We start from the raw sequence: 26,532 nt of genomic DNA, 5'->3' as shown, positions 1-26,532 counted from the left end.
TCCTCCAGCTCTGTTTCTCACTGTTCCCCTCCTCTGAAGCTGCAAACCTCTGCAGTCCAGCCATATAGAGCTCCGTTCATCTGCCAGACACACTAGGACTGAGCTTGTCCCTGATCCTCCCCCAATCATCCCCCAACTCTTTAAGTCGACCTGGATGATGTTCCTCTTTAATCTTTGCCTGGCTAATGGCCACTAATTCCTCAGGACTCACATTTGACTTCACCTACTAAGTGTTCCTGGATCCCCCAACACTGGGGTGAGTGAGCAGAGGCTCCCTCAGCTGAGCTAGTACTCCACTTGAACTTCCTGTGACATATGTTGTATATATCTTCAGTATATATCTTCATAGGGTTCATGAAGGTAGGGCTATATCTTATTCATTGTTTAATCTCCAGAACTTAGCACACTCTAGGCACATACAGGCCCTCAAAAACTATTTATAAAACACAAATGAATCTGTGAATGAATGGATCACATTCAATCCATTTAATCCTTTTGGGACTCTTTTTACCAGTAACAATAAAATAAACTCAGCTTTAAGCTTACTTCTGGTACTATTAAAAAGGACTTATATTTCTTAAAAAGTAATAAAGCATACCATATGATTCAGCAACTCCCCTCCTAGGAATTTACACAGGATAAATAAGAATACATGTTTACACAAAGACTTGTGCGTAGCACAATATCTACCTGTTCGTAGCCCTTGTTCATAGCAACAGTATTCATAACAGCAAAAAGCTAGAAACAACCCAAATATCTATCAACAGTGAATGGATAAGCAAAATGTGGTAATTCGTAGAGTGTAATACTCTTCAGCAATATAAAGGAATGAAGTACCAAACATGCTACAGGATGGACGAACCTCAAAAACATTATGCTAAGTGAAAGAAGCCAGATACGGGAGTTTGTATGTTGTCAGGCCGGGTGTAGTGGCTCACATCTGTAATCCCAGCACTTTGGGAGGCCAAGGCAGATGGATAGCTTGAGCCCAGGAGTTTGAGACTAGCCTGGGCAACATAGCAAAACCCCATATCTACACACACACACACACAAATGAGATGGGTGTGGTGTAGTGCGCCTGTAATTCCAGCTACTTGGTGGGCTGAGGTGGAATGATTGTTTGAGCCTGGGAGGAGGAGGTTGCAGTCAGCTGAGATCATGTCATTGTACTCCAGCCTGGGTGACACAGTGAAACCCTGTCTCAAAAAAGAGATTATATGTTGTCATTCCATTGATATGAAATGTCCAGAAAAGACAAACTGAGATAGCCAGCAGATCAGCGGCTGCCTGAGGTTTGGAGTGAGAGAAGGAAATTATTGCAAAAAGGGTGAAGGAAATGCTCTACAGTTGGATGATAGTGATGGTTACACAACTCTGTCTATTTACTAAAAATCATCCAGTTGTACATTGTACACCTGCAATGGGTGAACTTTAAGGCATGTAATTTATGCCTCAATACCTCAATAAAGCTGATACAATTGTGCCACTGTTCTAACTTTTTAATATCTAGCAAATCAATACATAGACTCTCAACTTCCAGGCGGGGCCATGTGAGGGGGTGTCCAAAATTAATTCTCTTTGTTTCTGAATCTGATATTATGAGATGACCAGAGACTCTGAGACTCTGAAGACACCATCTTTATGTCAGATGGTGGCTGGGTTTCTACTGACTTGACTAAACCTTGGACCGAAATGTTTTTTTTTTTTTCCTTTTCCCTTTAAAAAATAGAGACGGGGTCTCACTATGTTGCTCAGGCTAGTTTCGAACTCCAGGGCTCAAGTGATCCACCCACCTCAGCCTCCCAAAGTGCTGAGATTATAGGTGTGAGCCATTGTGCTCAGCTCCCAGATGGTTTTGAAAGTCTTTAAGTTCCCTTTTTCTCCTTCAATTAAGTGCAAAATTCCCTTATCTGTTTCAGCCTTTGAAAGGCTGAATGTTGCCCTTCAGACCTGCCACAAGGCATGATGAGGTGAGTCAGGGTTAGGGTGAAAAGTTGGGTCTCGTCTTGTCCTTCTTGGCCACTGTTACCATTTGGTAACACTTCTCTTCTCTCTCAAGCATTTCCAGCTAGATATTCATGGAGCCCTATGCGTGGCCTCACCTGAACCTGCCCTCCTGGGCTCTTGAGTTTCTGGCTCCAGGTGGATCCCATGCCTGCTATCTCTCCCAGCCTTGGGCTTCCTCTACAACTGCTCAGGGCCTGCCATGGCCCCCTGCCTCCCAGGAGGACAAGCTGTCTGAACTAGCAGAGTCTTCAATCCCTGACAACTCACCTCATCACCTTCCTTCCCTCTCATTGCCTTTCTGTCCCATAGCTGTCCCCTCTGCCGGCTGAGGGTGCATCACAGGCCTCTTTTCTCTGGAGCTGCAGGGCTCTCAGGAATTTGGGAGTCCAGAAATGCCAGGTTTCACAAAAAGAGAAGTTGCATAGAAAAAGTTAAGAGTTCCTGAAAATAAATACATGGGACTGGGTCCATCTCTTTTTGAGCATCTGCTGAGCTTCTGATTATCTTTTGGGGGAAATGTCAAAATATCATTGTCTTCCCCTCACAAGAACAGAACTCCAGAGATGGAAGGGATTTCTAATCTCCCTATTTTACATATGGGGAGACTGGGGTTCAGGGAGGGAAAGTGGACAGTCTGGTGAGTTTGAAGGCAGGGTCAGTGGGGCTTTCCCTCAGGCCATGAAAAAAAACGCAAAAAAGAAAGACAGGGCCGGGCACGGTGGCTCACGCCTGTAATCCTAGCACTTTGGGAGGCCGAGGCAGGGAGATTACCTGAGGTCAGGAGTTCGAGACCAGCCTGGTCAACATGGTGAAACCGTCTTTACTGAAAATACAAAATTAGCTGGGCATGGTGGCACGCACCTGTAATCCCAGGTACTCGGGTGGCTGAGGCCAGAGAATTGCTTAAACCCGGGAGGCAGAGGTTGCAGTGAGCTGAGATGGCACCACTGCATTCCAGCCTGGGTGACAAGGTGAGACTTCATCTCAAAAAAAAAAAAAAAAAAAGAGAAAGAAAAAGAAAGAGGCAGTATTTCTGTTTGTCACAAGGGAGGCTGCCATGACGCCTGGGCCACTGAGCCAGCAGCAAGTCCTTTGGGACATATCCCTGCTCTAGGATTCTCTCTGAGGTCCTGTTAGAGCGCTCATCTCTTCAAACACCCAAATCAGCTCCTCTGATGTGCTCCTGCTTGCGAGTGTGGGCCAGCAGACCATGTAGAGCTGTTTCAGGCACTGACTCTGGAGTGACAAAATGAGTTCGAAACTTGCCTCACTATGAAGTGTCCGTGAGACTCAGCCAAGTTATTTAAACTTCTTTGTACCTTAAAAACAAAAGCATCCTTAAGATCCATGACATTGCATTTTCTTTGTACAAAGAAACTTAGATAAATTTGCTGCTTCAAAAGCAGTGGCAATTATGACAATGGCAAAAGATCCTTAAGGAAGAGAGATCCTGGCCGATGAGTCCCAACATGGATATGGATTGATTTAGTTTGGTTCCAGTGGGAACACAGGAACGTTAGCGTTGGAAGGGATTTTAAAGGTGAGGCCGTTTGACTCTTTCACCATGTCAGGTGCTCCCCCTTTAAATCCTTCAAATATGATCATATAGTCTTTTCTTTCAGTGAGGCACAGTTTACTATTCTAGGAGGCAGCCCATTCCACAGTGGGCTGGTTCTAATTGTTTGAAAGGTCTTCTTAACATCGAACTAAAATTAGTCTTGCTTTCCTTGGGCAAATAACTTCTACAGGTTTTGTTCTTATCTGCCCCACCAGGGTCTTATGAGGATACTATGAGACAAGATATTTGAAAGTGCCTTGAAAAGTAGGAAACCGACAGACTTTGAAGGTATTATTTTTGAGGCAATAAATTCTTTTTTTGGTACAGATATTCAACTGGAAGATAAAGCAAATATCAAAGCTGCTATATCTTGATTTCAGCTATGAATAGCCTGTGCTTATCACGGAAAAGTGGTCCAGATGATCCTAGAGTAGGTGGAGTCATAGTTGGCTTGTATTAATTTTCTATTGCTGTGTAACAAATTACCACGCACTCAGTGCCTTAAAAGAACATCCCTCGTTATCTCACACTTCTGTGGGCCAGAAGTCCAGGTGCGTTCTCTGCTGAGGGTCTCACAAGGCCAGAGTCAAGGTGTTGGCTGGGCTGGACTATTATCTGGAGGCTTTGGGGTAGAGTCTACTTCCAAGCTCATTCAGGTTCTTGGCAGAATTCACTTCTGAGGTCCCTGTTGGCCAGGGGATCTCTCAGCTCCTAGAGGCTGTTCTGCCACCTTGTACACAGCCCCTACCACCTTCAAAACCAGCTATGGCATGTCAAATTCTTCTCATGCCTCAAATCTGACTTCCCCTTCTGCTGGCTGGGGAGCCAGGAGAAAGCTCTGTTTTTAAGGGCTTATATAATTATATTAAGTCTACCTAAATAATTTTCCTTTGCCATATAACAATACACAACCATGGGAATAATATCATCACAGTCACAGTTTTTACTCACACTCAAAAGGGAAGAGACTATAGAAGGGTGAGGGTCCTTAGAGATCATTTGTAGAATTCTGTCTACCACATGGTTCAATAACCATAACTGAGGAGTGACCATGAATGCAACAGTATCTACCTTCAGGGAGGCCCCGAGGCATACTCAGCTCACTGATGTTTAATGTCTTCACTCATAACTTGAATTAAGAAATAATTACTAGATAGACGATAGAACAAATTTCTAAATAATATTAACAGTGAAAAAATGATGGGACAGACCCAACAAAATCCAATTTAAGAGGGATGAATGTAAAGTAATCTTCCAACCATTTGGATACATGCAGACTGGAGGAGATGTGGGTAGATGAAAATCCATGTGAAAAAGACCCAGAGCTTTCAATAGGTTTCAAGCTCAACGTGAGAAATCGCATTAATAGAAATTTCCTTTGCACTAACCTAAAACAAATCCGTTCCTTTGATAACGCTTTAATATTTAAACTTTGAAAATTTTTTGTTCTTAGCATAAATGCCCCCAATTCTAGGATCTGTTCCTTATACCAACTGGTTATGAGATTCTTCATCATCCAGTGCTCATCTTTTCCTTTGCCTATGCTAATTGGTAAATGTCTTTCTCAAAATGTGACAGAACTGAGAGCAACGCCACCCATATCATCTCTCTAGCAAAAATTATAGCATGCCTAGTAACTAAACTTGAGTAGTTATAATTACACTTCTCATTATTTGTCTGTCTCAAATATGATTAGAAATTCTAGGAGTGATTTAGAAAACCCAAGAAAATCAAGAGTAAAACTTTTAGAATTTGTAATACAGGGTAGTAAATGAGTAGAATGGAAGATAAATATATTGTACAAAAATCATTTTTTCTCCTGTACACAAGCGAAAAGAAAGTTAAAGATAAAATGAAGTTAGGCAAAGATTTCTTAAATAAAACACCAAATGCATGGTCCATAAAATAAAAATTCATAAGTTGAACCTCATCAAAATTCAAAACGTTTGCACTTCAAAAGACACCATTAACCTGGTGAGGTTGAGGAGAAAAGGGAACACTTATACACTCTTGGTGGGAGTGTAAATTAGCTCAAACATTGTGGAAAGCAGTATGATGATTCCCCAAAGAGCTAAAAGCAGGACTACCATTTGACCCAGCCATCCCATTACTGGGTATATACCCAGAGGAATATAAATCATTCTGCCATAAAGACACATGCATGCATATGTTCATTGCAGCACTATTCACAAAGCAAAGACAGAGAATCAACCTAAATGTCCATTAATGACAGATTTGATAAAGAAAATACGGTACGTATACACCGCCGAATACTATGCAGCCATAAAAAAGAAAGAGATCATGTCTTTTGCAGGAACATGGATGGAGTTGGAGTCTATTATCCTTAGCAAACTAATGCAGGAACAGAAAACCAAATACCGCATGTTCACACTTATAAGTGGGAGCTAAATGATAAGAATTTATTAACACAAAGAAGGAAACAACAGATACTAGAGTCTACTTGGTGGGGTGGGTGAGGGAAGGAGAGGAGCAGAAAAGATAACTAATGGGCACTGGACTTAATACCTGGGTGTTGAAATAATCTGTACCACGAACCCCCATGTCATGAGTTTACCTCTGTAACAAACCTTTACAGGTACCCCAAAACCTAAAATAAAAGTTTTTTTTTTTAAATAACTCATTTTTTTTCTTAAAGCTTTTTAAGAAAAAAAAAATGAGCAAAGACTGGGACAAAATATCTGCAAACACATTTGCAACATATCCAGAATATACAAAGAATTCTCAAACTCAATAATAAGAAGACAGACCAAACAATAGGCAAAAGATATGGGCAATTATTACACTAAAGAAGATGCATGAATGGCTAACAAGCATGTGAAAAGTTGCTCAACATCATTAATCATTAGAAAAATGCGAATTAAAGTCCAAATGTCATATTACTTAACAGCCACCAGAATGGCTATAAAGAAATAAAACGGACAATAGTAAATATTGTCAAGGATGTGGAGAAATGGGAATCCTCACATGTTGTTGGTGTAAATGTAAAATGGTGCAGCCACTTTAGAAAACAGCTTATCAGTTTCTCGAGAAGTTAAACATAAAAGTACCATAACAATTTTCCTCCTAGTATTCACTTAAGAGCAATGAAAACATGTCCACACAAAGACTTGTACACAAACATTCAGAGCGGTATTGTTTATAACAGCCTCAGCTGAAAATCATCTAAGTGTCCATCGGTTGAATGGATAAAGAGCATGTGGTATATCTATAAAATTGAATATTATTCAGAAATTAAAAAATAACCAACTACAGACACATGCTCTGCCATGAGTGAACCTAAAAAATATGGGAGTTTTTAAAATTATATAAATTTAAATTTATATTATAAATTTAATATATTTATTATTGAATAATAATATTAATAAATTTATATAAATTAAAATTTATATATAAATATATATATTTATATATAAATATATATACAAATATATTTATATATATACAAATATATATATTTATATATAAATATATATAAATATATATATTTATATATAAATATATATACAAATATATATATTTATATATAAATATATATACAAATATATATATTTATATATAAATATATATACAAATATATATATTTATATATAAATATATATACAAATATATATATTTATATATAAATATATATACAAATATATATAATAAAAACAAAATCTTCTATAGCAACTACAACTTTAAAAAGACCCAGAGATCACATTCAGAAATAACCAAAATATAAACTTTTCCAAAAAACATGATTGCACATATGAATAAACAGAAATATACCACATATTATAAAGATGGCTGTTTCTTCCAAATGAAGTTGAAAGTATTAAGGCATGCCAATCAAAAACCCCAGTGGTTTATATTTTTGAATTTGTCATTTGAAAGAAGAAACAGAAGTGCTAAAAAAAAGAAAGTGGAAATGAAGGTAGATGATGCAGAGCTTTACCCTACAAATATTACAACTCAGGATAAAGCAAACATCTTTAAATACTGTGGCACAGAGAGGGACTGATAGACTGATGGAACAGAATACATAGTTTTGAGGTAGACTGATGAACTTAGAACTTCAAATATGGTAGAGCAAACATCATAAATCATTAAGAAGAACTGATTACTCACCAAAAAACATTAAGCCCACTAGTCACTTTGAAAACAAAAGAAATAACATTATATACTCCCCACTGTCATTCCTGTGGGATTTCTTTGCCCAGAATATCACCCTTTGGAGAGCCATCTCTCCTCCACAGCTTGTATTCTGATGGGCTGTCAATCATACCTTTCCTATCCTTGGGGCTGGGGGACGAGGCTCAGGATGGGCAAAATACTCAATCTCATTGGCTGCAGCGACTGGCTCAGAGATGGGCACATGATCCAAATAGGACCAATCAGAGACCTCCCTCAAGGAATCTGCTATACCTGCCAGGCAAGAGAGGGTCTATCTTCCTTCTGAGTGAGAAGTTATAAAGGCATAGGCATAGAGACCATCTTTCCAGCCTGTGCAAGAAATAAGTCAACATTCAGAAGAAGCAAAGTCATGATATATGAGAGAGTTTAAACCCTGATATCTCCTAGTTTAGGTCCCAGAGCTGGTTATTACTGCAGCAAGCTGGACTCATTTTCCAGATGTGTGAGATAAGTCTTTTTTCGGCCACTTCTATCACTGGTAACTGAAAATGTTTTCACAAAAATGTTTTGACTCACTTTACTCAGTAATCAAAAGATTTCCTAAATGATTAAAACAGGTTAAAGGAAAAATTAAAATAAACTAGGCTAGAATGAAATATAGTGCAATATTAAATTGATCTTAAAATAAACATGGATTTTCTAACCACAGAAGTGATAAAAGAATATCCCAGAGAAAAACGGGCAATAACAGTAGTAAATAATTAACAGGAGAAGAAAATCTAATAGCTAATAAACACATAAAAATGTTCAACCTATGAGCAATTAATGACATCCAAATCCAAACTTGATACAATTTTGAATAATAAAAGTAATAAAGTAACAGTAATACTTAATGCTAGTCAGGGTGTTGTGCAATTAATACTTTAATAAACTACTAGTGAGAGTAGGAATAACAGTTTTTCACGAACGATTTGAAAGTATGTGTCATCTAATTATTCTGCTTCTTGGAATCTATCCTAAGGAAAAATACAAAATTTTTGCTTAAAATTGTACATATAAGTGAGTTCATACAGCTTTATTTTTAATAGTGAAAGCTTAGATGTAACTTAAATAACCCATAATATGGTTATGTTACATAAATTATGGGATACTTATAAATAGACTATAATTCAGCCATTAGAGTGTTTTAGAAAAATATTTAGAGAATATACATAATATAATGTTAAATAAAACAAGCAATCTATGAAGTTTTATATATAAGATATGATCTCAGTTTCAGTTTTCAACATTCTACATGTAGAATGAAACAAACTACATATTAACAATGGCTATCTATGGGTGACTTTTATTTTCTTTTGTACAGAATACTAACCTTTCCAAATTTTCTCCAGCAAAAACATGAGAGAAAAACTTAAAGAGAGAGCATACGACTTTTGCTAGCTGTGTCCTTGCCCAGAAAATCACCTTGAAAGACTCTTGCATCAATTATATTTCACCTACTTGCAGGAGTTCCTGAGAAATTAAGGGGTACTCAACATTGATAAGCAGTTGATTAAAACAGTACTTAACACAGCACAGGGCAGAAAGGTGCATTTGTGTGTGAAGGTGAAGGAAGGGGAGCAAAGCAGGAGGAGATCATCCAAAGGTCGAGAAACGACTTATGAGAATTGCTTTTGTTCAGCCTGAAAAAACATTTCCATTTAGTTCTTCAACTTAGTGTGGTGCCGAAATCCTGTGACAAGGACTGAACCATCGCACCTATTTATATATTCAAGTCCCATCCAGGCAGTGGGAAATTCCAAAGAAACAGGCATAATCATTTGGATGTACTGTAAAACGGGTGAGCTTTTAATGAATGTGCAAAGGTTGTATGGATCAATTGTCCATTTGATTAATTCTTCGGGCAGGAGAGAATTAAATGTACTTAGGCTACACACCAGTAAAAGCTGAATGCTTTTTAAAATGTGATTTTCTATGTTGAGGCCAATTTTTTTCTGTGCAAAAAACATTTCTTGAGATAATAATGGAAGTCAATGAGAAAATGCAATTTGCCATATAAGTATTCAGCTACATACTACTTTGTCAGAAAAGCAACTAATGCGCAAACAAGGTGAAGGTCTGTATAGTATTCACCATTATTTTAGCTAACCTTCCTTTCAAGTTCTTATTTGCATCATTTCACAGTAGAGGCCATAAATCCCTATTTCAGAAATAATGCATTGTCGAAACTTTACCCTTTCCCTCTATAAGGTATTCAGCACTAGTATACTAGAGACCTCTAAATCCAAAAGAGGTAATTATCTTCAATTCCTGGGCGACTGCGAAGGCCCAGGGAAAAGACAAATCTTGTACTTTTTATCACTTGGAATGATAATGTCTGATATGTTGGTGGAAAGGATGGAAATATTCTGAAGGCCGGGCACATCCCTATCTAGAGGCTCAGGAATCATTTCATTGCATTCACTCAAGGAGTATTTCTTGAGTGCCCATTGTGTGCTAGACACAGTGCTAGGTCCTGGGAGTAGAGAAGAAATGAAGGTCAATGTTATCTCGGAACATACAGTCTAGAGCGGGGGATAGATTTATCAAATTGCCCAAATACATAATGGCTTCATTATTCTGTCCCAAGTGGTATAAACTCCCAAACTATTAGCTTATATTCCAAGATAGGCAGACCTCACTGCAGTAGGGAAGACTGACTGTACAGGACCTCCTTCCTGCTAATGACTGAGAATGGCCCTAAAGACAGATACTAGAGGAGTCCAGTCTGAATGAAAAGGTGGGAACCACTTTTCCTTTAACCCAGACAGGATGAGCTCCTCCAACTAATTGGCCCAAGTAACACCTGTTAAGACTCCACGCCCCCCACCCCCAACTCCAGTTGCTACTTCCTTTACCATCTAGCTACAGAGAGATCGACATCTCCCTCTGCAGAGGTGCTATTTGCATTTGTCTTAAGCTGAGGTAGGGAGGAAGATGGATTCCCAGCTAAGAGCAAAACACAGAGTAGCTGTTTCTTCTTCACTGGGAGCCAAGACACAGACAGACACACAGACAGAGTCCTGGACAGACCTTGCCCCTAAGTCAACTTCCCTTGCTTGATTCTGTCTAATCTTATGATCTGGGTCCTCAATATTTAAATGTCATTCATTCATTTGATGATTATTAATTCAACACTTACTAGGGGCTGGGGACATAACAGCAAACACGATAGACAAAGGTTCTTGATTGCTAGAGGTTTACATTCCAAAGGGGAATGCCAACAAGGAGGAGGCAAGCCAGGCCATTTCAGAATGGGGGAAACATTAAGATCAACAGAGGCTCTGTCAGGGTTACCTGCTCTCTCTCTCTCTCTCTCTCTCTCTCTCTCTCTCTCTCTCTGTGTGTGTGTGTGTGTGTGTGTGTGTGTGTGTGTGTGTGTGTGTGTGTGTGTGTGGTGGGAGAGGCTGCCTTTTAGAAACAGTGGTCAGGGAAGGCCTCTGAGGACAGAGAGTAGAACAAAAGCATGAGACGGTACCAGTGGAACAGACGGCCTTGAGAATGGCATTGCAGGCAGAGGAAAGCATGTGTGTGCAGGTGCTGAGGTGGAATGAACTCCAGGTGATCAAGGAACAGAAAGGAGGCCATGTAGTTGGAGTGTAGGGAGTGAGTCATCAGGGTGGCTGATGGGGACTACCAAGTCTCATGCAGAGTTCACATTTTGGTCCATGCAGAGTGGAGAGCCACTGGAGACAGTGATGTGCCCTCTAAGGGATATCACAAAAAAGAGAGATACAGAGTAAGAGGGAAGCAGTTCGAGTCGGACTCTCCTCTCCCCTTCCAGACTGGGGAGGAAAATGAATTAAAGAAATGAAAAAGCAGAGGAATTATCTTGACCATCATGCTTCAGCTATGAGGTGTTGAGCTATGAATCGTGCTGGGATTTTCAAGTACTTACTTTGGATTTTCCATGTCCTATTCATTCCATGAACACAGTGACTGCAATTTAACTGAATTGGAAATATTTATCAAATACTTGGAAATATATTTGAGGATTTGACTAAAATACAAGTGATATCACTGAGAACAGGAAAAGAGAAAAGTCAAAAAATAGCACAGATTCTATCTGGTCATTTTAACTGTAACTCACAATTTCTGACAATCTCTTCATTACCTACAAGTCATTCATCTCAGTGAACCAGTTATTCAGACATACAATTCCTTTTGGGGAAGAGGAGGTTTAATGTTCAATGGAATTACAAGGAAAGGGTATGAACTCCCAGCAGAATTTACAGAAATCTCAGTGGAATTAAAATATCATTTCTCCCATGCATCATGACCTATTGTTCTGCCCTCACTGTCCTTTACCTGTGTTGTGCTGTCAGATGAATCTTCATAAAGTACAGATTTCACATTCTGATGAAATTTCTCAATAGTTTATCACTACTTACTGGATAAAGAATATATTCTTCATACTTTATATTCTGACTCCTTTATGGCTGACTACCTCCCCCAAAGTCGGAACTCCCTCTTCCAGGAACATATCTTGAGTTTTCCCATGTCTGTGACTTTGCCACCAATATGCCATTTTCCAGCAATGTTTATCAGTAACTCCTTAACTTTTGGGGATGCATAGCATTTTAACAATTAATGAATGCTGTATATCCTCTTAATAGAAAAAAGTTACGTGTGAACAGATTTCTATACAATTTCATGGACACCTGGACAGTAATCTCATAACCTATTTAAATCCTACTGGAATCCAATACATCCTTCACGCTCCAGGTCAAATACCATCTCTTCCCTGAAGCCTTTCCAGTTCTTTTCCTTCTACTGTGAGTGGGGCCCTCTGTGCTCAAAGGGCTTTCTGCTGAGTCACCTGCTTGGAAATTTGTTGCATATGGCCTCGTACCTTATTTTATACTATGGCCTTGTACTTTTCCCCTTGGTGATATTTAAATTTTTATCTACATATGTCTTATTTCCCTCATTAGAATTGGACTTTAAGGGCAGAAAATGTTTTAGTCATCTTAGTATTCCCAGTGACTTGTTCAGTGTCTGGCGTGAATTCATTCATGTGTGAATTAATATAAGTGATGGAAATACTGTCTTTCTAAAAAAAACATGCAAGCTCCTAAATGGTTGGAACTACCTTGCTTATTTCTTTGCATTCCCAGGTAAGAGGTACTGAATAAATGTGCCAGTTAATTGATCAATTGATTGACAAGAAAATAATAATAGGGATCGATTACTGAGCACTTATATACTAACCTCCTTAGGAGTATTACTGTCTTTTTTATGTGCTTGTTTTAATGAACCATATTTATTTTTATAAATATGCCTGGAAAGCAAAATACATTATTCACTTACTTAAGAGTTCTTCATTAAATTGCACCATGACATTTTCAAGAGAATCGTTTTAGAAAGTTATTATAATCTTTGTGCAGTATAACATTCCATGGTATATTTCTTAACTTTAATGAATATAGAGAGAAATACTTCTTTGTGTTTTGTAAATGGAGGTGAGGGGGTTACCAGTATGCTTTTTAAATTGATACATATTTGACATATTTATGGGGTATATGTGATATTTTATTACATGCATAGAATGTAATGATCAAGTCAGGGTATTTGAGTTATTCATCATCTTGAGTATTTATCATTTTTATGTATTGGGAATAACTGAAGTTCTCTCTTCTAGCTACTATGAAATATACAATACACTGTTGCTAGCTATAGTCATGCTATTCTGCTGTTGAATGACAGAACTTATACTTTTATCTAATTGTATGTTTGTATCTGTTAACCTACCTCTCTTCATCACCCTCCTACTCTCCCTCCCAACGTTACTGTCTTTAATCCTTACAATAATCATGGAAGTTGTGAGTTACCACTTCCATTTCACAGATGAGGAAACCAAAACTTAGGTCAATGTTTTTAATAATCAAACAGCTGGTATGTGTTAGGGCTGGTGTTAGAACTCGGGTGTGTATGACCATTTAGTAATTCCTCAAAAAGTCACGGCTCATTGATTTGCTCTGGGATTTGTTCCAAGAAAGGCTCTGCCCTACATCCTTTCAGTTTCACTTTAAACAGGCTGTGTTGAGTCAGGCCCTTTCCCTGTAGCTCTATGGACAAATAGCAAGTGACAGGGACTTTGACCCTAGATGCCCACTAGCTGGCCTGAACCAGACAGCAGTAAGGCTGTCAGTGGTTGACACCAGTGCTCACCTGTCAGTCAAAGGTGTGATCACCAAGCGAGGTGTGTTTCCCAGGTACTCATAGGAATACAAAAACTGGGCATCACAGATGTTGGCAAAGCAGTGTTTGACCTCGTCATCCCAACGATGGCGCAGCTGAGACAGCCAGAGGAAAGCCTGGGCATTGTCTACCTAAAGAGAGAGTGGTAGAGTAGGTGGGTGAATCATAGGCAGCAGGTAGTCCCTTGGCCACAAGACACATAGGGGTCTGATGCCTTGGCTGTTGACTGCTGCTAAAGTGTGCAGCATGCTGTGGCCACCACAGCATAGAAAGCACAAGCTGCTCTGATTACAGGGTTCTATCCCAGCACTTTGGGAGGCCAAGGCAGGCGGATCACCCGAGGTCAGGAGTTTGAGACCAGCCTGACCAACATGGAGAAACCCCGTCTCTACTAAAAATACAAAGTTAGCTGGGGGTGGTGGTACATGCCTGTAATCCCAGCTACTTGGGAGGCTGAGGCAGGAGAATCACTTGAACCCGAGAGGTGGAGGTTGCGGTGAGCCGAGATCGTGCCATTGCACTCCAGCCTGGGCAATAAGAGCGAAACTCAATCTCAAAAAAAAAAAAAAAAAAGTAGGAGCAGCCACTGTGATCCTCCCCCAGCTGTCTGGTCAGTGCTGTACAGACCCTGGGGCCCCCATATTTTGGCTGTATGTGCTGTTCTCAGTGTAGCTGTACACAAAAGTGGGCATCCCTGGATGTTTGGGACCCACCTTCTGAGCAATCATCTTGGCTACCACATCCCGGGCATGCACATCGATGGTGCATATAGTCATAATCTTCTGCCGGTCTCCCTTGGAGAGCTGGCCAATCAGCATGGTGATAAGGGTTTTGAGCTGGGCCACTTGCTTCTTATAATAGTCCTTCATGGCACTCTCATAGCCTTCCTCCAGCCTGGCAAATGCCATGCCCACTTCTGTTGTCCACCAGATCTGAGTACAGGTCAGGGCCACCTGTGGCAGCAAGAGTTGCCTAGTAAAGCTGTTATCATGGCTGTTTCCAACCAACCCACTCATCACACAGCAAGGGCTCAGGATGTAATTGTGTGGGTGACATGAGCCCCATCCCTCCCTCTTCCACCAGCACTGACTAAGTGAACCATATGCTCTAAACCCTTGAAGGTGTGAAGTTGTTGCGGTACAGGTGGGAAAAGCACTTTCTGCTCCTGAAAAAATGTATCATTCGGTTGAGAAGAACCCAAGATTGACTCTGATCAAGGCCGGTGCCTTCTAGAAATTGTGACGGGGATGAATCAGTCTTTTACTTCCCAAAGGTAGCAACTTTCCCAAGCTTGGGAGGATGACAATATGTTGCCCAACCATCCCAATGACACCCAGTCTTCTGCTCCTCTGTGGTCTGACAACCTAATTTAGTGAGCCACTGCTGATCATCTGTGGCACACATTTGCTCTTCTACCATACTTTCACTACATTTTAAAGATATTTTAAAACCTTAAAGTGCCTATTTTTAAGTGCCAAGATGAGAGATATTGAAATTCAATTGTGGTTAATATGATTTGCATTTTCAGAGATTAAAAATAAATAAATAGAAAAAGCAATTGAAATACATATTTCTTCTATTTGCTGGAAAGCTTTGTATGGAACATGCATAACTTTGATTACTCATGGTGGGGAATTTAGATCCATTGCTCATCTGTAGTATCATTTGGTTTGGGGGACACCACTCTAGATGACATTTACTGCAATAGGAGGAGGCAACACATTCTCTTGTCTCAAAATTCTGATACAGGTAAACAAGGAAGCCTGATGGGATTTACTCCCTTTGTGAAATGGAGAATCTCATCGTAGTAAACAGCACCATTTCTGTTTGTCCATTTTTCCCTTTGAGTTTATGTCCCATTAGATTTTATTAAAGAAGCTCCCCCTCATTGGCAGCCTTACTGGGATAACTTGAGAGGATGTTCCAATCCTACTATTAATAAACACCTCTTCTTCTCTGCAGTGTGGACTCCTTTCTCCTCTCTTCTTCGTAGCCAAGTTTCTCCCTGCTATTCACACACATTCACTGTGAATACTTTCTTTTCTTTTCTTTTTTTTTTTTTTTTGAGACAGTCTCGCTCTGTCACCCAGGCTGGAGTGCAGTGGCACGATCTCAGCTTACTGCAAGCTCCGCCTCCCGGGTTCACGCCATTCTCCTGCCTCAGCGTCCTGAGTAGCTGGGACTACAGGTGCCCACCACCACGCCTGGCTAATTTTTTGTATTTTTTAGTAGAGACGGGGTTTCACCGTGTTAGGCAGGATGGTCTCGATCTCCTGACCTCGTGATCCACCCACCTCAGCCTCCCAAAGTGCTGGGATTACAGGCGTGAGCCATCACGCCCAGCCACTGTGAATACTTTCTACCTTTTCCCACTCCTCAGCCCCTGCAATGTGGCCCCTTCCCTACCACTCCCCTGAAATGGCCTCACCAAGTTTATCCATGAACCTTCTTCATCCTCTTTATTTTGCTTCATCTCTTAGAAGTGTTTGACATTTCCTACCTCTTACCTGCTACCAACAGTTTCTTGCTTGGTTTCCATGATTACTGTTTCCCGGTTTTCCTTCTGCTCCCAAAAGACCATTTCTTATTCTGCTTTACTGGTTCCTCCTTCCTCCTCCTCTGGCTCTGAATGATGCTCAAGAATTTGTTCTGCACTCTCTTCTCATTCTACATACTTTGCAAGGGCAATCTTATCTACTCTATGGCTTTGATGACTACTAAATGTCTGCAACCCCCAAACAGAGCAACACTACTACTATACTGTTAACTGAGGGAAGGAGGAGTGGCCTACTGTAGCCAGAGTTACTTTAAACATTTCTTGTTAGGTCTGGCTTCTCTCTTATTATGCTTCTGAGAAACCTATAAGGAATTCCACTCTATCTCAGAATCAAGTCAGACTCTCTCACAAGGTCTACAGAAACTGGCTTCCAGAATCCACCTGCAGCCTTTGCTCCTCCTCCGCTTACTCTGGCTCAGACACACCTGCTCACCCTGTCTTCTGAGCCTGGGCTCTTCCTCCTACTTGGTTGCTCTTTGCTCCCATTTTTAACTTGCTAACTCCTGCTTCACATCTCAGCTTTCATATCATATGCTCAGGGGCGTGTCCCCAGACCTCATGAACTATCTGTATGCTCCCAGAGTACCCTGAGCCTCCCCTATTAAAACACCTGTCATGGCCGGGCGCGGAGGCTCACGTCTGTAATCCCAGCACTTTGGGAGGCCGAGGTGGGCGGATCACTTGAGTTCAGGAGTTTGAGACCAGCCTGGCCAGCATGGTGAAACCCCATCTCTACCAAAAATACAAAAAAAATTAGCCAGCCCTGGTGGCGCATGCCTGTAGTCACAGCTACCTGGGAGGCTGAGGCAGGAGAGTGGCTTGAACTTGGGAGGTGGAGGTTGCAGTGAGCCGACATCGTGGCACTGCACTTCAGCCTGGGCGACAGAGCAACACCCCGTCTTAAACAAACAAACAAAAAACAAAACAAAACAACAACAACAAAACACCAGTCATATGTGTCAGCAGTTCAGTTCCACATGAGTCTGTAAACTCCAGCAAGACAGGTGTCATTGTCTTGTTCCCTACTGGTGTGTCCTGTGCTCAGCACAGAGCTTGGCACATAGAAAGTAGGCTGGCTCAAAGAGTTGAACTGTTGACATTTTCTCCCTTCTGTAGCCAATGAGGGCAAAAAGAGATCACCCTTGATTTCCCAAGGTCAGGGTTGACTTAGGTCATTATTGTTAATCCCCCTGCTCCCACCTGCTGACCCCTCACAGTGGTCTGGGATTCAAGCCTCCCTGGCTGTGAAGCATGCAGCCAGCCTGATATCTACCAGCTGCTGAAGGCTGGGGGAGGCTGCGGAGGAAGACAGCCCCAACCATGGAGGATGGGGATCCCATTAGGAGAATACCTGAGCTGGGTGGTCAAAAAGCCACTGCTCCCTCGGCTTTTCTTCATAGGCAGTTACACCTTCTGTCATCTCATGCCTCACAGTGGCCTTCATGTGACCAAGGACATGGTTCAGCCATATTTCTACCTGAAAGAACAACTCAGGTTAGACACTGGGTGCCTGAGAAGTTTTGGTTAGTCCTACATATTTTCTTCCACTCAGTCTGAGGGAGTGAAGGAAAGGGAGCCCACACATTGTATACAGCCCCAAGTGGCTGCCAGAAGGTGCAGAGAGATGTGCTGTTTACGTAATCCGGGATGGTGATAAGTGAGACCCAGACTTAATTAACAGCAGGCTGATGTGTGCATTTGGAATATGCAGGACAGAGTAGCAGGTTAAGGGGGTGGGGGCTGTCACCCAGAGCTCATACAAGGAAATAGAAATCTGGGTTGAGCTGGGTGTAAATAAATCAGTGGCTTCTCATGACCTTGTCCACTCTGAGTATGAAGCGCAAACCAGGATTGTATTCCCCAGCTCAATGCTTTCTGGGTCTACAGAAAGAACATATTGTGAATGAAACCCCAGGGCCACCCTCATATAACTGAGAAGCGATTATTTTCTGGCACTAGAATTGCTTTCTTAGATATAGGTGATAAGGGTGGAACCCTGTAAAATATCCTTACCCCAGCTGTTATTTGGCACTAGATGAGAATCCCCAGGGGCAATGCTTTGCTGGATCATTTCAGACGATAAATAAATAAAGAAAGGCTTATATTTATCGGTGGTGCTAATGGATGGGAAGGAGGCTTAAGGGGTAAATGGTCCCGTGGTTTGTGTCCCTTGCATTGGACATGGAGATTTGGAGGAGGCAGTTCCTGGAGCACGGTGGTAGTTTGTTCTCCAAGGGGAAGGCTGTGGGAGGAAGTGACACTAAGACACATTTGTGCAGAGAGGGGACATCTCAGGAAAGCAGCTGGTTCCACAAAAGGACATTTTTCTCCCAGGGAGGGTGTCAGTGTTCCAGATTCTCCCAGAGGATGCTCCAGGGGTTGCCATGTTGACGTCTCCTGGTGCCGCTAATCATTTTAAAATCCTTTTCTCATTGACTTGGGTAGCTGTTTATGTGCATTTTATTTCCCTCTGCACAGGTCTTTGGTTAAGGAAAAGATATGAATGTTGACATGTGTCCTTCCCTGAAAGAGGAAAGCAGGGCGCCAGCTGCTGCTCCAACATCAGTTCAAGTCAAAGAAGCTGGCTCTTGGAGGGCATGGACAGCAGCTCTGGACCAAGGTCAGAAAGGCCCTCCTAGAGTTGATGCTGATCATATTTGAATGAAGGCATTTGAGAGAGAAAAGCAGAAGGAGGGGAAAGGGCTACTGTGTTACCTGCCCGCTGCAGTCACAGGGCTCACTGAAAGCCACATACTCCTCTTCTTTGCTGTACATGCCGAGGCTTGTCTTGGTTGGTTCCCCACTGGCATCTAGCTGGAATCGCATCTTGGCCATGTTGTCAAAGAGTTTGGAAAGGTGACGTTGAACCTATGAAGGGAAACCAGGCCAATGGATCATAAAACATGTTCGGGAAGCTGCTTATTAGAATTGTTTAGAGGCCTACCATGTGGCAATCATTGTGAAAGACAGAGTGGTGGATACCAAGCATTTAGAAGGAAGTTTGTGGGAACAATGCTGATGTGAGGACAGGAATAAAATGAATCCGTAGAAGTGGCCAAAGGAAGACTGAATAAAACTAGTGAGAGTTGTGCACTAGCTATAAACCAACTAAGTCACAATGGTTTGACTAAATTTGGATTGGTCTACTATAGATAGGACTAGATTGGAGAAAAATATGATGGTCCAGTTGTAAACCTTCTTCCTAAGAAAACACTACCATGGTACAGGACATGAGCAAAGGACCATCTAGTAGAAGAATGCTAACATACATTGAATCTGGTGAGTCAACAGTGGTGGCGGCAGTGGCCTGTGGAAGAAGCCACCCCAGTCTTTTTTTATTTTTATTTTTTGAGACGGAGTCTGGCTCTGTCGCCCAGGCTGGAGTGCAGTGGCGCAATCTTGGCTCACTGCAACCTCCACCTCCCAGGTTCAAGCGATTCTCCTGCCTCAGCCTCCTGAGTAGCTGAGATTACAGGTGTGTGCCACCATGCCCAGCTAATTTTTGTATTTTTAGTAGAGATGCGGTTTCACCATGTTAGTCAGGATGGTCTTGAACTCCTGATCTCGTGATCCGCCCCCCTTGGCCTCCCAAAGTGCTGGGATTACAGGTGTGAGCCACCACACCCGGCCATAGCCACCCCATTCTTGAAACCTCTTCAGTTCAACAAACACACATCAGAAGGGTTCCAAGCAGTGCAGGCATGCTCATGGCAAGCATAAAGTCTGGCTGTGCCGGGCTGCTCCCAGCCATGGCATCTGAGGAGTAGAGGTCCTCTACAGTGATTGCCTGGGGCTGTAGTGCTAGGAGGGATGCTGGACAGAGCTATGTTGTGGTCCTGAGGTGAAGAAAATGGCAGACTGAAGGAAAAAGAATAAACAGAACCTGCCCCCTGGTAGAGCTTCTTGAATAATTACAAAGGGCCCTCCAGCTGCTGGTATCCTGACTTTTAATGCTAAATTTAGAACAACCAGCTCTCCAGCTTATGAGATGAGAGGACAAATCTAAGAGTGTTTAGGTAAACTGTGAAGGTACCCATGGAAACACCACCCACACTGATTTGGGTACAAATACCAAGATAGACCTTTCTTTATTGAAAAACAAATGCAAATTAAAAATAACAACAATATAGAACCTATGAAAATATCCCAAAATTTAAAAGGAGAAAACAGGACTCAAGAGGGCAAAGAAGAGCATATATATATATAAAATATATAATGTATCTATGTTATTTTATATATAATATATAATTAGTATGTATAATATAGAATATTAATATATTATTATTTTCTATCTAATCTAATATATAATTATTAATATATAATATATTATATAATTATTATATATTAATATATTATATAATATATTGCTATTATATTAATATAATTATATTATTAATATATTATTATATTAATATAATAATATATTAATATAATAATATATTAATAATATAATACTAATATATAATTATATATTATATATAGCTAAATTTTATATAGGTATATATACTATATATGCTATAAAGTAACATTATATATAATTTTATATATAATTTTTTTAACCTTTATACATAATTATATATAACTTTACATAAAATTGTATATAACATTTTTTAAACCTTTAATAATGGAAACAAATCAATTTGTGAACCATCACCTTGTTTTTCTTTCAATTACATTAAAGAAACATGAAGTCTATAAAACGTGGTGAAAGATGAGTTGGCAGAGGTAGAGAAATAAAGTAAGGAGACTAACAATGACAGAGTACAGTTTATAGCAGTATTAGCAACACTAAAGTGCAGAATTGACACAAAAAATTAAATATGGTGGAAGAGCTTGAGAAACTTACTGATAAATGCCAAGGAAGAGGACTAAGAGATAAAAATACGATGAAAGAGAAGGTAATGTATATAGCATGTATAAAGTGGAATCTCAGCTTACGGAAGTATGATAAACCTGAATGAAAAAATATACAGATAAATGGGATAGATGTATTATTTAAAAACATGCTAGAAGAAGACTTTTTCAAGATCATAAAAGCACTCGTTTTCAGATAGGACAAAATCTCATCATGTTTTAGGGATAAATTAACAAAACAAGTATATAAGCATACAAATTTTTAGAAATTAATTTAAATTTTATTCTCTATAGGGACCTAGATAGAAAGAAATTAGGCTATCTAGAAATTTTTTTTAAAGCAGGCAGGCCTCAGATGACTTCTTTGTAACAACAAACAGCAGAGTGATATCTGCATGGATTGAGAGGTGATCACTGTGACTCATGAATTCTAACCCTAACCATTCACTTGCTCACATGTGAAATGACAGAGTCACAGATATAGAAGGAATTAGGATGTATTCCACCATGCTTCACCTCTTAGGGTGTGGGGAATACTCAAAAATGTACTCAAATAAGAAATGAATCAAAATAAATATTTAAGAATGAGGCCTATTCTGGTGGCTCATGCCTATAATCCCAACACTGTGGGAGGCCAAGACGGGAGGATCACTTGAAGCCAGGAGTTCAAAATCAGCAAGACCCCGTCTCTACAAAGAATTTTAAAAAATTAGCTGGGTGTGGTGGCTCATGCCTGTAGTTCCAGCTACTCTGGAGCCTGAGGTGGGAGGACCCTTGAGCACAAGAGTTTGAGGCTGCAGTGAGCTATGATCATGCCACTGCACTCCAGCCTGGGTGACAGAGCAAGATCCAACCTTAAAAAAAAATTAATTAATTTTTAAAAAGAATGAGATATAAAAAAATCTGGCAGTGATCTGAACACAGAATGAATAAAAATACAGTTATAATACAGAATGCTAATGCATTAATAATAAATATTTCAACACCACCACACCTGGACTACTTTGGAAATATTTTCATCTATAGGAAAAAAAGAACTGCTATAACTATCAGGGATAATCTCTCTTTAGTACTTGCTTCTTATCAACAAATCAAAACCTAATTTCACTAAGTTAGAAAGGGTAGGTCAAAGACAAAACAACTTATGCATGTTTTCATCCTTTGGCTCTGTTTGAGAAGCTCTTGTCTGCTGCTTGTGGTGAAGCAAAAGGGTGGAAACTTGGCAATATCTAACAAGACTACATATGTATCCACCCTTTGAGCCGGGAATCTCACTTTTAGGAGTTTACCTGGAAGACAGATGGCCAACAATACAAAGTCCAAGGTTATTCAATGCCACATTCTTTGTAATTACAAAATATAATAAATAACCTATGGCCAAACTGTGGTATATCAATCCATGGAGTATGATGCAAATATTAAAAAATGAGGGAGATATCTTTGACTTGATATGGAGTGATTTCCAAGCTATGTAGCTAAGTAGAAAAAAGCAAAGTGCAAACAGGTAGGCGTAGCATGCTACCTTTTGTGTATGAAAGAAGGGGAAATTAGAAACTGTACATGCATGAATGTAAATGTGCATTTGCTTATTTTTGTAAAGATAGACATAGGAAAGCTAACCCAGAAATTAATGAAATTGGTTACCTATAGTGGGTGGAACAGACGTGGTTATGGCATGAAAGGAACAGAGGAGGCAAGGATACATCTCTGAGTATATACATATCTTTTTGCATAGTTTGACTTTTGGAATCCTATCAGTGTCATACATATTCAAACAATCAAATAAACATGTATGGGAAAAACCCTAAAACTGAAAGCAAAAAGAAGCAAATGAGCCCAACTATTCTTTAAATGAATAACAAAATCACATGAGGAAAAAGAACTCATCCAAGCATTTTGAGACCCAGACAATGTTGAGAGCAGAAGTTCTCATAGTGTAGTCCCTAGACCAGCAGCATATTGGGAAAATTCTTAGAAATGCAAATTCTCCAGCTCTACCCAGACGTAGTGAATCAGAAACAGTGGGAGTGGGACCGAGGAATCTGTACTTCGACAAGCCTTCCAAGTGATTCTGATGCACTCCCAAATTTCAGAACCAGTGTCTGTAGCTCCAAATACCAACACTGCTTCAATTAGTTACTTTAATACTCAAAAAACCTTCGAACACAGCAGGTTTCTTCTGTTTTACAGATAAGGAAAGTTTGTTGCTAAGAAGTCACATGTCCAAGACTCTATGGCTAGTAACTGTCTAGAACCAGAAGCCAGAACCCCACATTTTGGGCTTCTCATATATGCTTTTGCCAATAAGCCTTACCTCCATATTCAGTTAACATAACTTCCAATCTTATCTCCCTATAGAAATTTTAGCTATCGAGTTTGGCCAGTATTTCCTGGATCTTTCTTCAGAATCAGATTGAAGGCATTCTCTGCCAAGCCTCAACTCCTTCCACCTTTGCCATCCTCAAAGTTTCTCAGTTCTTTGTTAGAGATTAGCCTCTGATGGGCCAGAGGGCATGCTGAGCAGCAATACTGATGGGGATTAAGAAAGCTCCGAGGTGGCCGGGTGCAGTGGCTCACAGTTGTAATCCCAGCACTTTGGGAGGCTGAGATGGGCAGATCACGAGGTCAGGAGATCAAGACCACCCTGGCCAACATGGTGAAACCCCGTCTCTACTAAAATACAAAAAAAATCAGTCGGCATGGTGGCATGCACCTGTGGTCCCAGCTACGCGGGAGGCTGAGGCAGGGGGATGGCTTGAACCCAGGAGGCGGAGGTTGCAGTGAGCCAAGATCGTGCCACTGACTCCAGTCTGGGCGACAGAGCAAGAATCCATCTGAAAGAAAGAAAGAAAGAAAGAAAGAAAGAAAGAAAGAAGGAAGGAAGGAAGGAAGGAAGGAAGGAAGGAAAGAAAGAAAGAAAGAAAGAAAGAAAGAAAGAAAGAAAGAAAGAAAGAAAGAAAGAAAGAAGGAAGGAAGGAAGGAAGGAAGGAAGGAAAGAAAGAAAGAAAGAAAGAGAAAGAGAGAGAGAGAGAGAGAGAGAGAGAAAGCGAGAAAGCGAGAAAGCGAGAAAGCGAGAAAGCGAGAAAGCGAGAAAGCGAGAAAGCAAGAAAGCAAGAAAGCAAGAAAGCAAGAAAGCAAGAAAGCTCCGAGGTATGTGATGATGCTGGGGGCAACACAGACAGGTCTGAAGTACAGAACCTGCCAGAGAGAAGAGGCATGATGGGGAGCCAGAAACTGCCTCCTGCTGGGCACCCCTCAGCCCTCCTAGACCTTTCTGCAGATGCTCCTCCAGCTTACCTGTTGTGGAGCTGTGCCGTTGGAAAGGATGTCTAACAGATCGGAGGAGGAGAGAAAGTAAAACCGCGGGAAGGCAAGCCTCTTGGTGTCGAGGTACTCTGCCAGGGCCTTCTCACACAGGCACAATCTGAGGGCACAGAACATAGAATTTCCCAGTTAAGAATGTCTAGACCCATGGATACACATACATTACTTAAATGTATGTATATGCAATAGACGGAACATATGCATTAGCACAAGAAACACTTAGAGATATTTGCAAAGATATACATGGATGTGTCTACCTTGGCGTCAACACCTCTAATAATGCCCCATGCTACCCAAACACACAGGCAAAGAAAGGGACATGCAAGGCACCCATACTCACTTCTGCCCACTGGTCTCAGAGACGATGGGGAAAAGGAAATGATGCCTTCTTATTAGAGAAGGGGTAATGGGCGGACCCTCACCTGCCCTGAATATCCTCCAGCTTTTCATACAGGCCTGGCTTGTTGGTGGTTTGCACTACATTTGGAATTTTCTGGGCATCATAAGCTAGCTCTTTAAAGTCAATGTCGATGCCTTCAAACCTTTTAGAATCCTGCAAATAAAAATGTGGAAGCAATTAACCACCACTCCACTCAGTTCCTAGAAGCTCCCTCCATGGAGCCAGTTAGAAGCAGAAACTTGTTCCTGGGTTGTCAAATACAGAGAATAGACTCAACGAAGGAAACACCCTTAGTTTAAGCTGCATTCAGCTTAGAACCCATTTACATTTTCAAAAATTGTTTAGGAGTCCAAAGAGCTTTTGTTTATGTAGGTACTATCTATCATATCTTTCAATATTTTCTGTACCAGAGGCTAAAGCTTTTTTAAAAAGAAATTTCTAAAATATTCATTAATGCATTTAGACCGGGCGCCGTGGCTCACACCTGTAATCCCAGCACTTTCGGAGGCTGACGCGGGCGGATGGTTTGAGGCCAGGAGTTTGAGACCAGCCTGGCCAACATGGTGAAACCCTGTCTCAACTAAAAATAGAAAAATTAGCTGGGCTGGGCTTGGTGGTGCAGGCCTGTAATCTCAGCTACTACTCGGGAGGCTGAGGCATGACAATCGCTTGAACCTGGAGGGTGGAGGGTGCGGTTGCAGAGAGCCAAGATCGTGCCACTGTACTCCAGCCTGGACGACAGAGGGAGACTTTGTCTCAAAAAAAAAAAAAAAAAAAAAAAAAGGGCATTTTAAAAGTAGCAATAATAAGCTGGGCGCGGTGGCTCACACCTGTAATCCCAGCACTTTGGGAGGCAGAGGCGGGTGGATCACAAGGTCAGGAGTTTGAGACCAGCCTGACCAACATGGTGAAACCCCGTCTCTACTAAAGATACAAAAAAAAAAAAAAAAAGCCGGTCATGGTGGTGTGTGCCTGTCATCTCAGCTACTCAGGAGGCTGAGGCAGGAGAATCGCTCGAAACCGGGAGGCGGAGGTTGTATTGAGCCGAGACCGTGCCACTGCACTCCAGCCTGGGTGACAAAGCGAGACTCCATCTCAACGACAATAACAAAAGTAACAATAATAAACCCATTATGTCAGCATAAATAAAATACTTAAGTATATTTTCCAAAACCAAAAATAACAGTTGAAAATGGGGCATCATTTCACTTTTTGTCAAATCTCTACAATATCTGACTTAACAGAAAACTGCTTCTGTATCAATTTATTATGATATCACATGTCATCTGACCTCTGGAGAACCCCACTGTACACTCATGGAAGAATGAGAGAAAAAAAAAAGGCGGATAACATCTTAATGTGATTATTAAGATAATTTTGACCTTGAGGACTCCCTGAAGAGGTCTCAGAGACCATCCCAAGCCCCAGGTATACAACACTTGATTCGTAAGTAGATAG

The 26,532-nt window shown here is 40.8% G+C and overlaps 1 protein-coding gene across 6 annotated transcripts in view, besides 1 other annotated feature; it reads right to left on the bottom strand.

Annotated features, from left to right (window-relative positions):
• DNAH9 (dynein axonemal heavy chain 9) overlaps positions 1-26,532 on the bottom strand; it is a 371,279-nt gene that overhangs the window by 250,654 nt on the left and 94,093 nt on the right. For all 6 annotated transcript variants that reach the window (XM_011523703.3, NM_001372.4, XM_017024292.3 and 3 more), the window contains 6 exons: positions 25,097-25,227; positions 24,648-24,774; positions 19,212-19,364; positions 17,848-17,973; positions 14,653-14,892; positions 13,910-14,070 (listed from right to left, as the gene is read on the bottom strand). In XM_011523703.3, coding sequence (XP_011522005.1) covers positions 13,910-14,070; positions 14,653-14,892; positions 17,848-17,973; positions 19,212-19,364; positions 24,648-24,774; positions 25,097-25,227 — 938 coding nt within the window. The remainder of the gene's footprint in view (positions 1-13,909; positions 14,071-14,652; positions 14,893-17,847; positions 17,974-19,211; positions 19,365-24,647; positions 24,775-25,096; positions 25,228-26,532) is intronic.
• Positions 18,409-19,608: an enhancer, noted in NCBI's record as "BRD4-independent group 4 enhancer chr17:11602804-11604003 (GRCh37/hg19 assembly coordinates)". NCBI's record gives its function as "activates an origin of replication core promoter dependent on BRD2, P300/CBP, MED14 and CDK7 cofactors, and independent of BRD4, by STARR-seq in HCT116 cells {active_cell/tissue: HCT116}" and the evidence as "EXISTENCE:reporter gene assay evidence [ECO:0000049][PMID:35650434]".

This window comes from Homo sapiens, chromosome 17 (assembly GCF_000001405.40).
Source record: "Homo sapiens chromosome 17, GRCh38.p14 Primary Assembly".
NCBI classification, from domain to species: Eukaryota; Metazoa; Chordata; class Mammalia; order Primates; family Hominidae; genus Homo; species Homo sapiens.
Note: the sequence above shows the minus strand (reverse complement) of the source record. Positions and strands in the feature narration are given on the sequence as shown.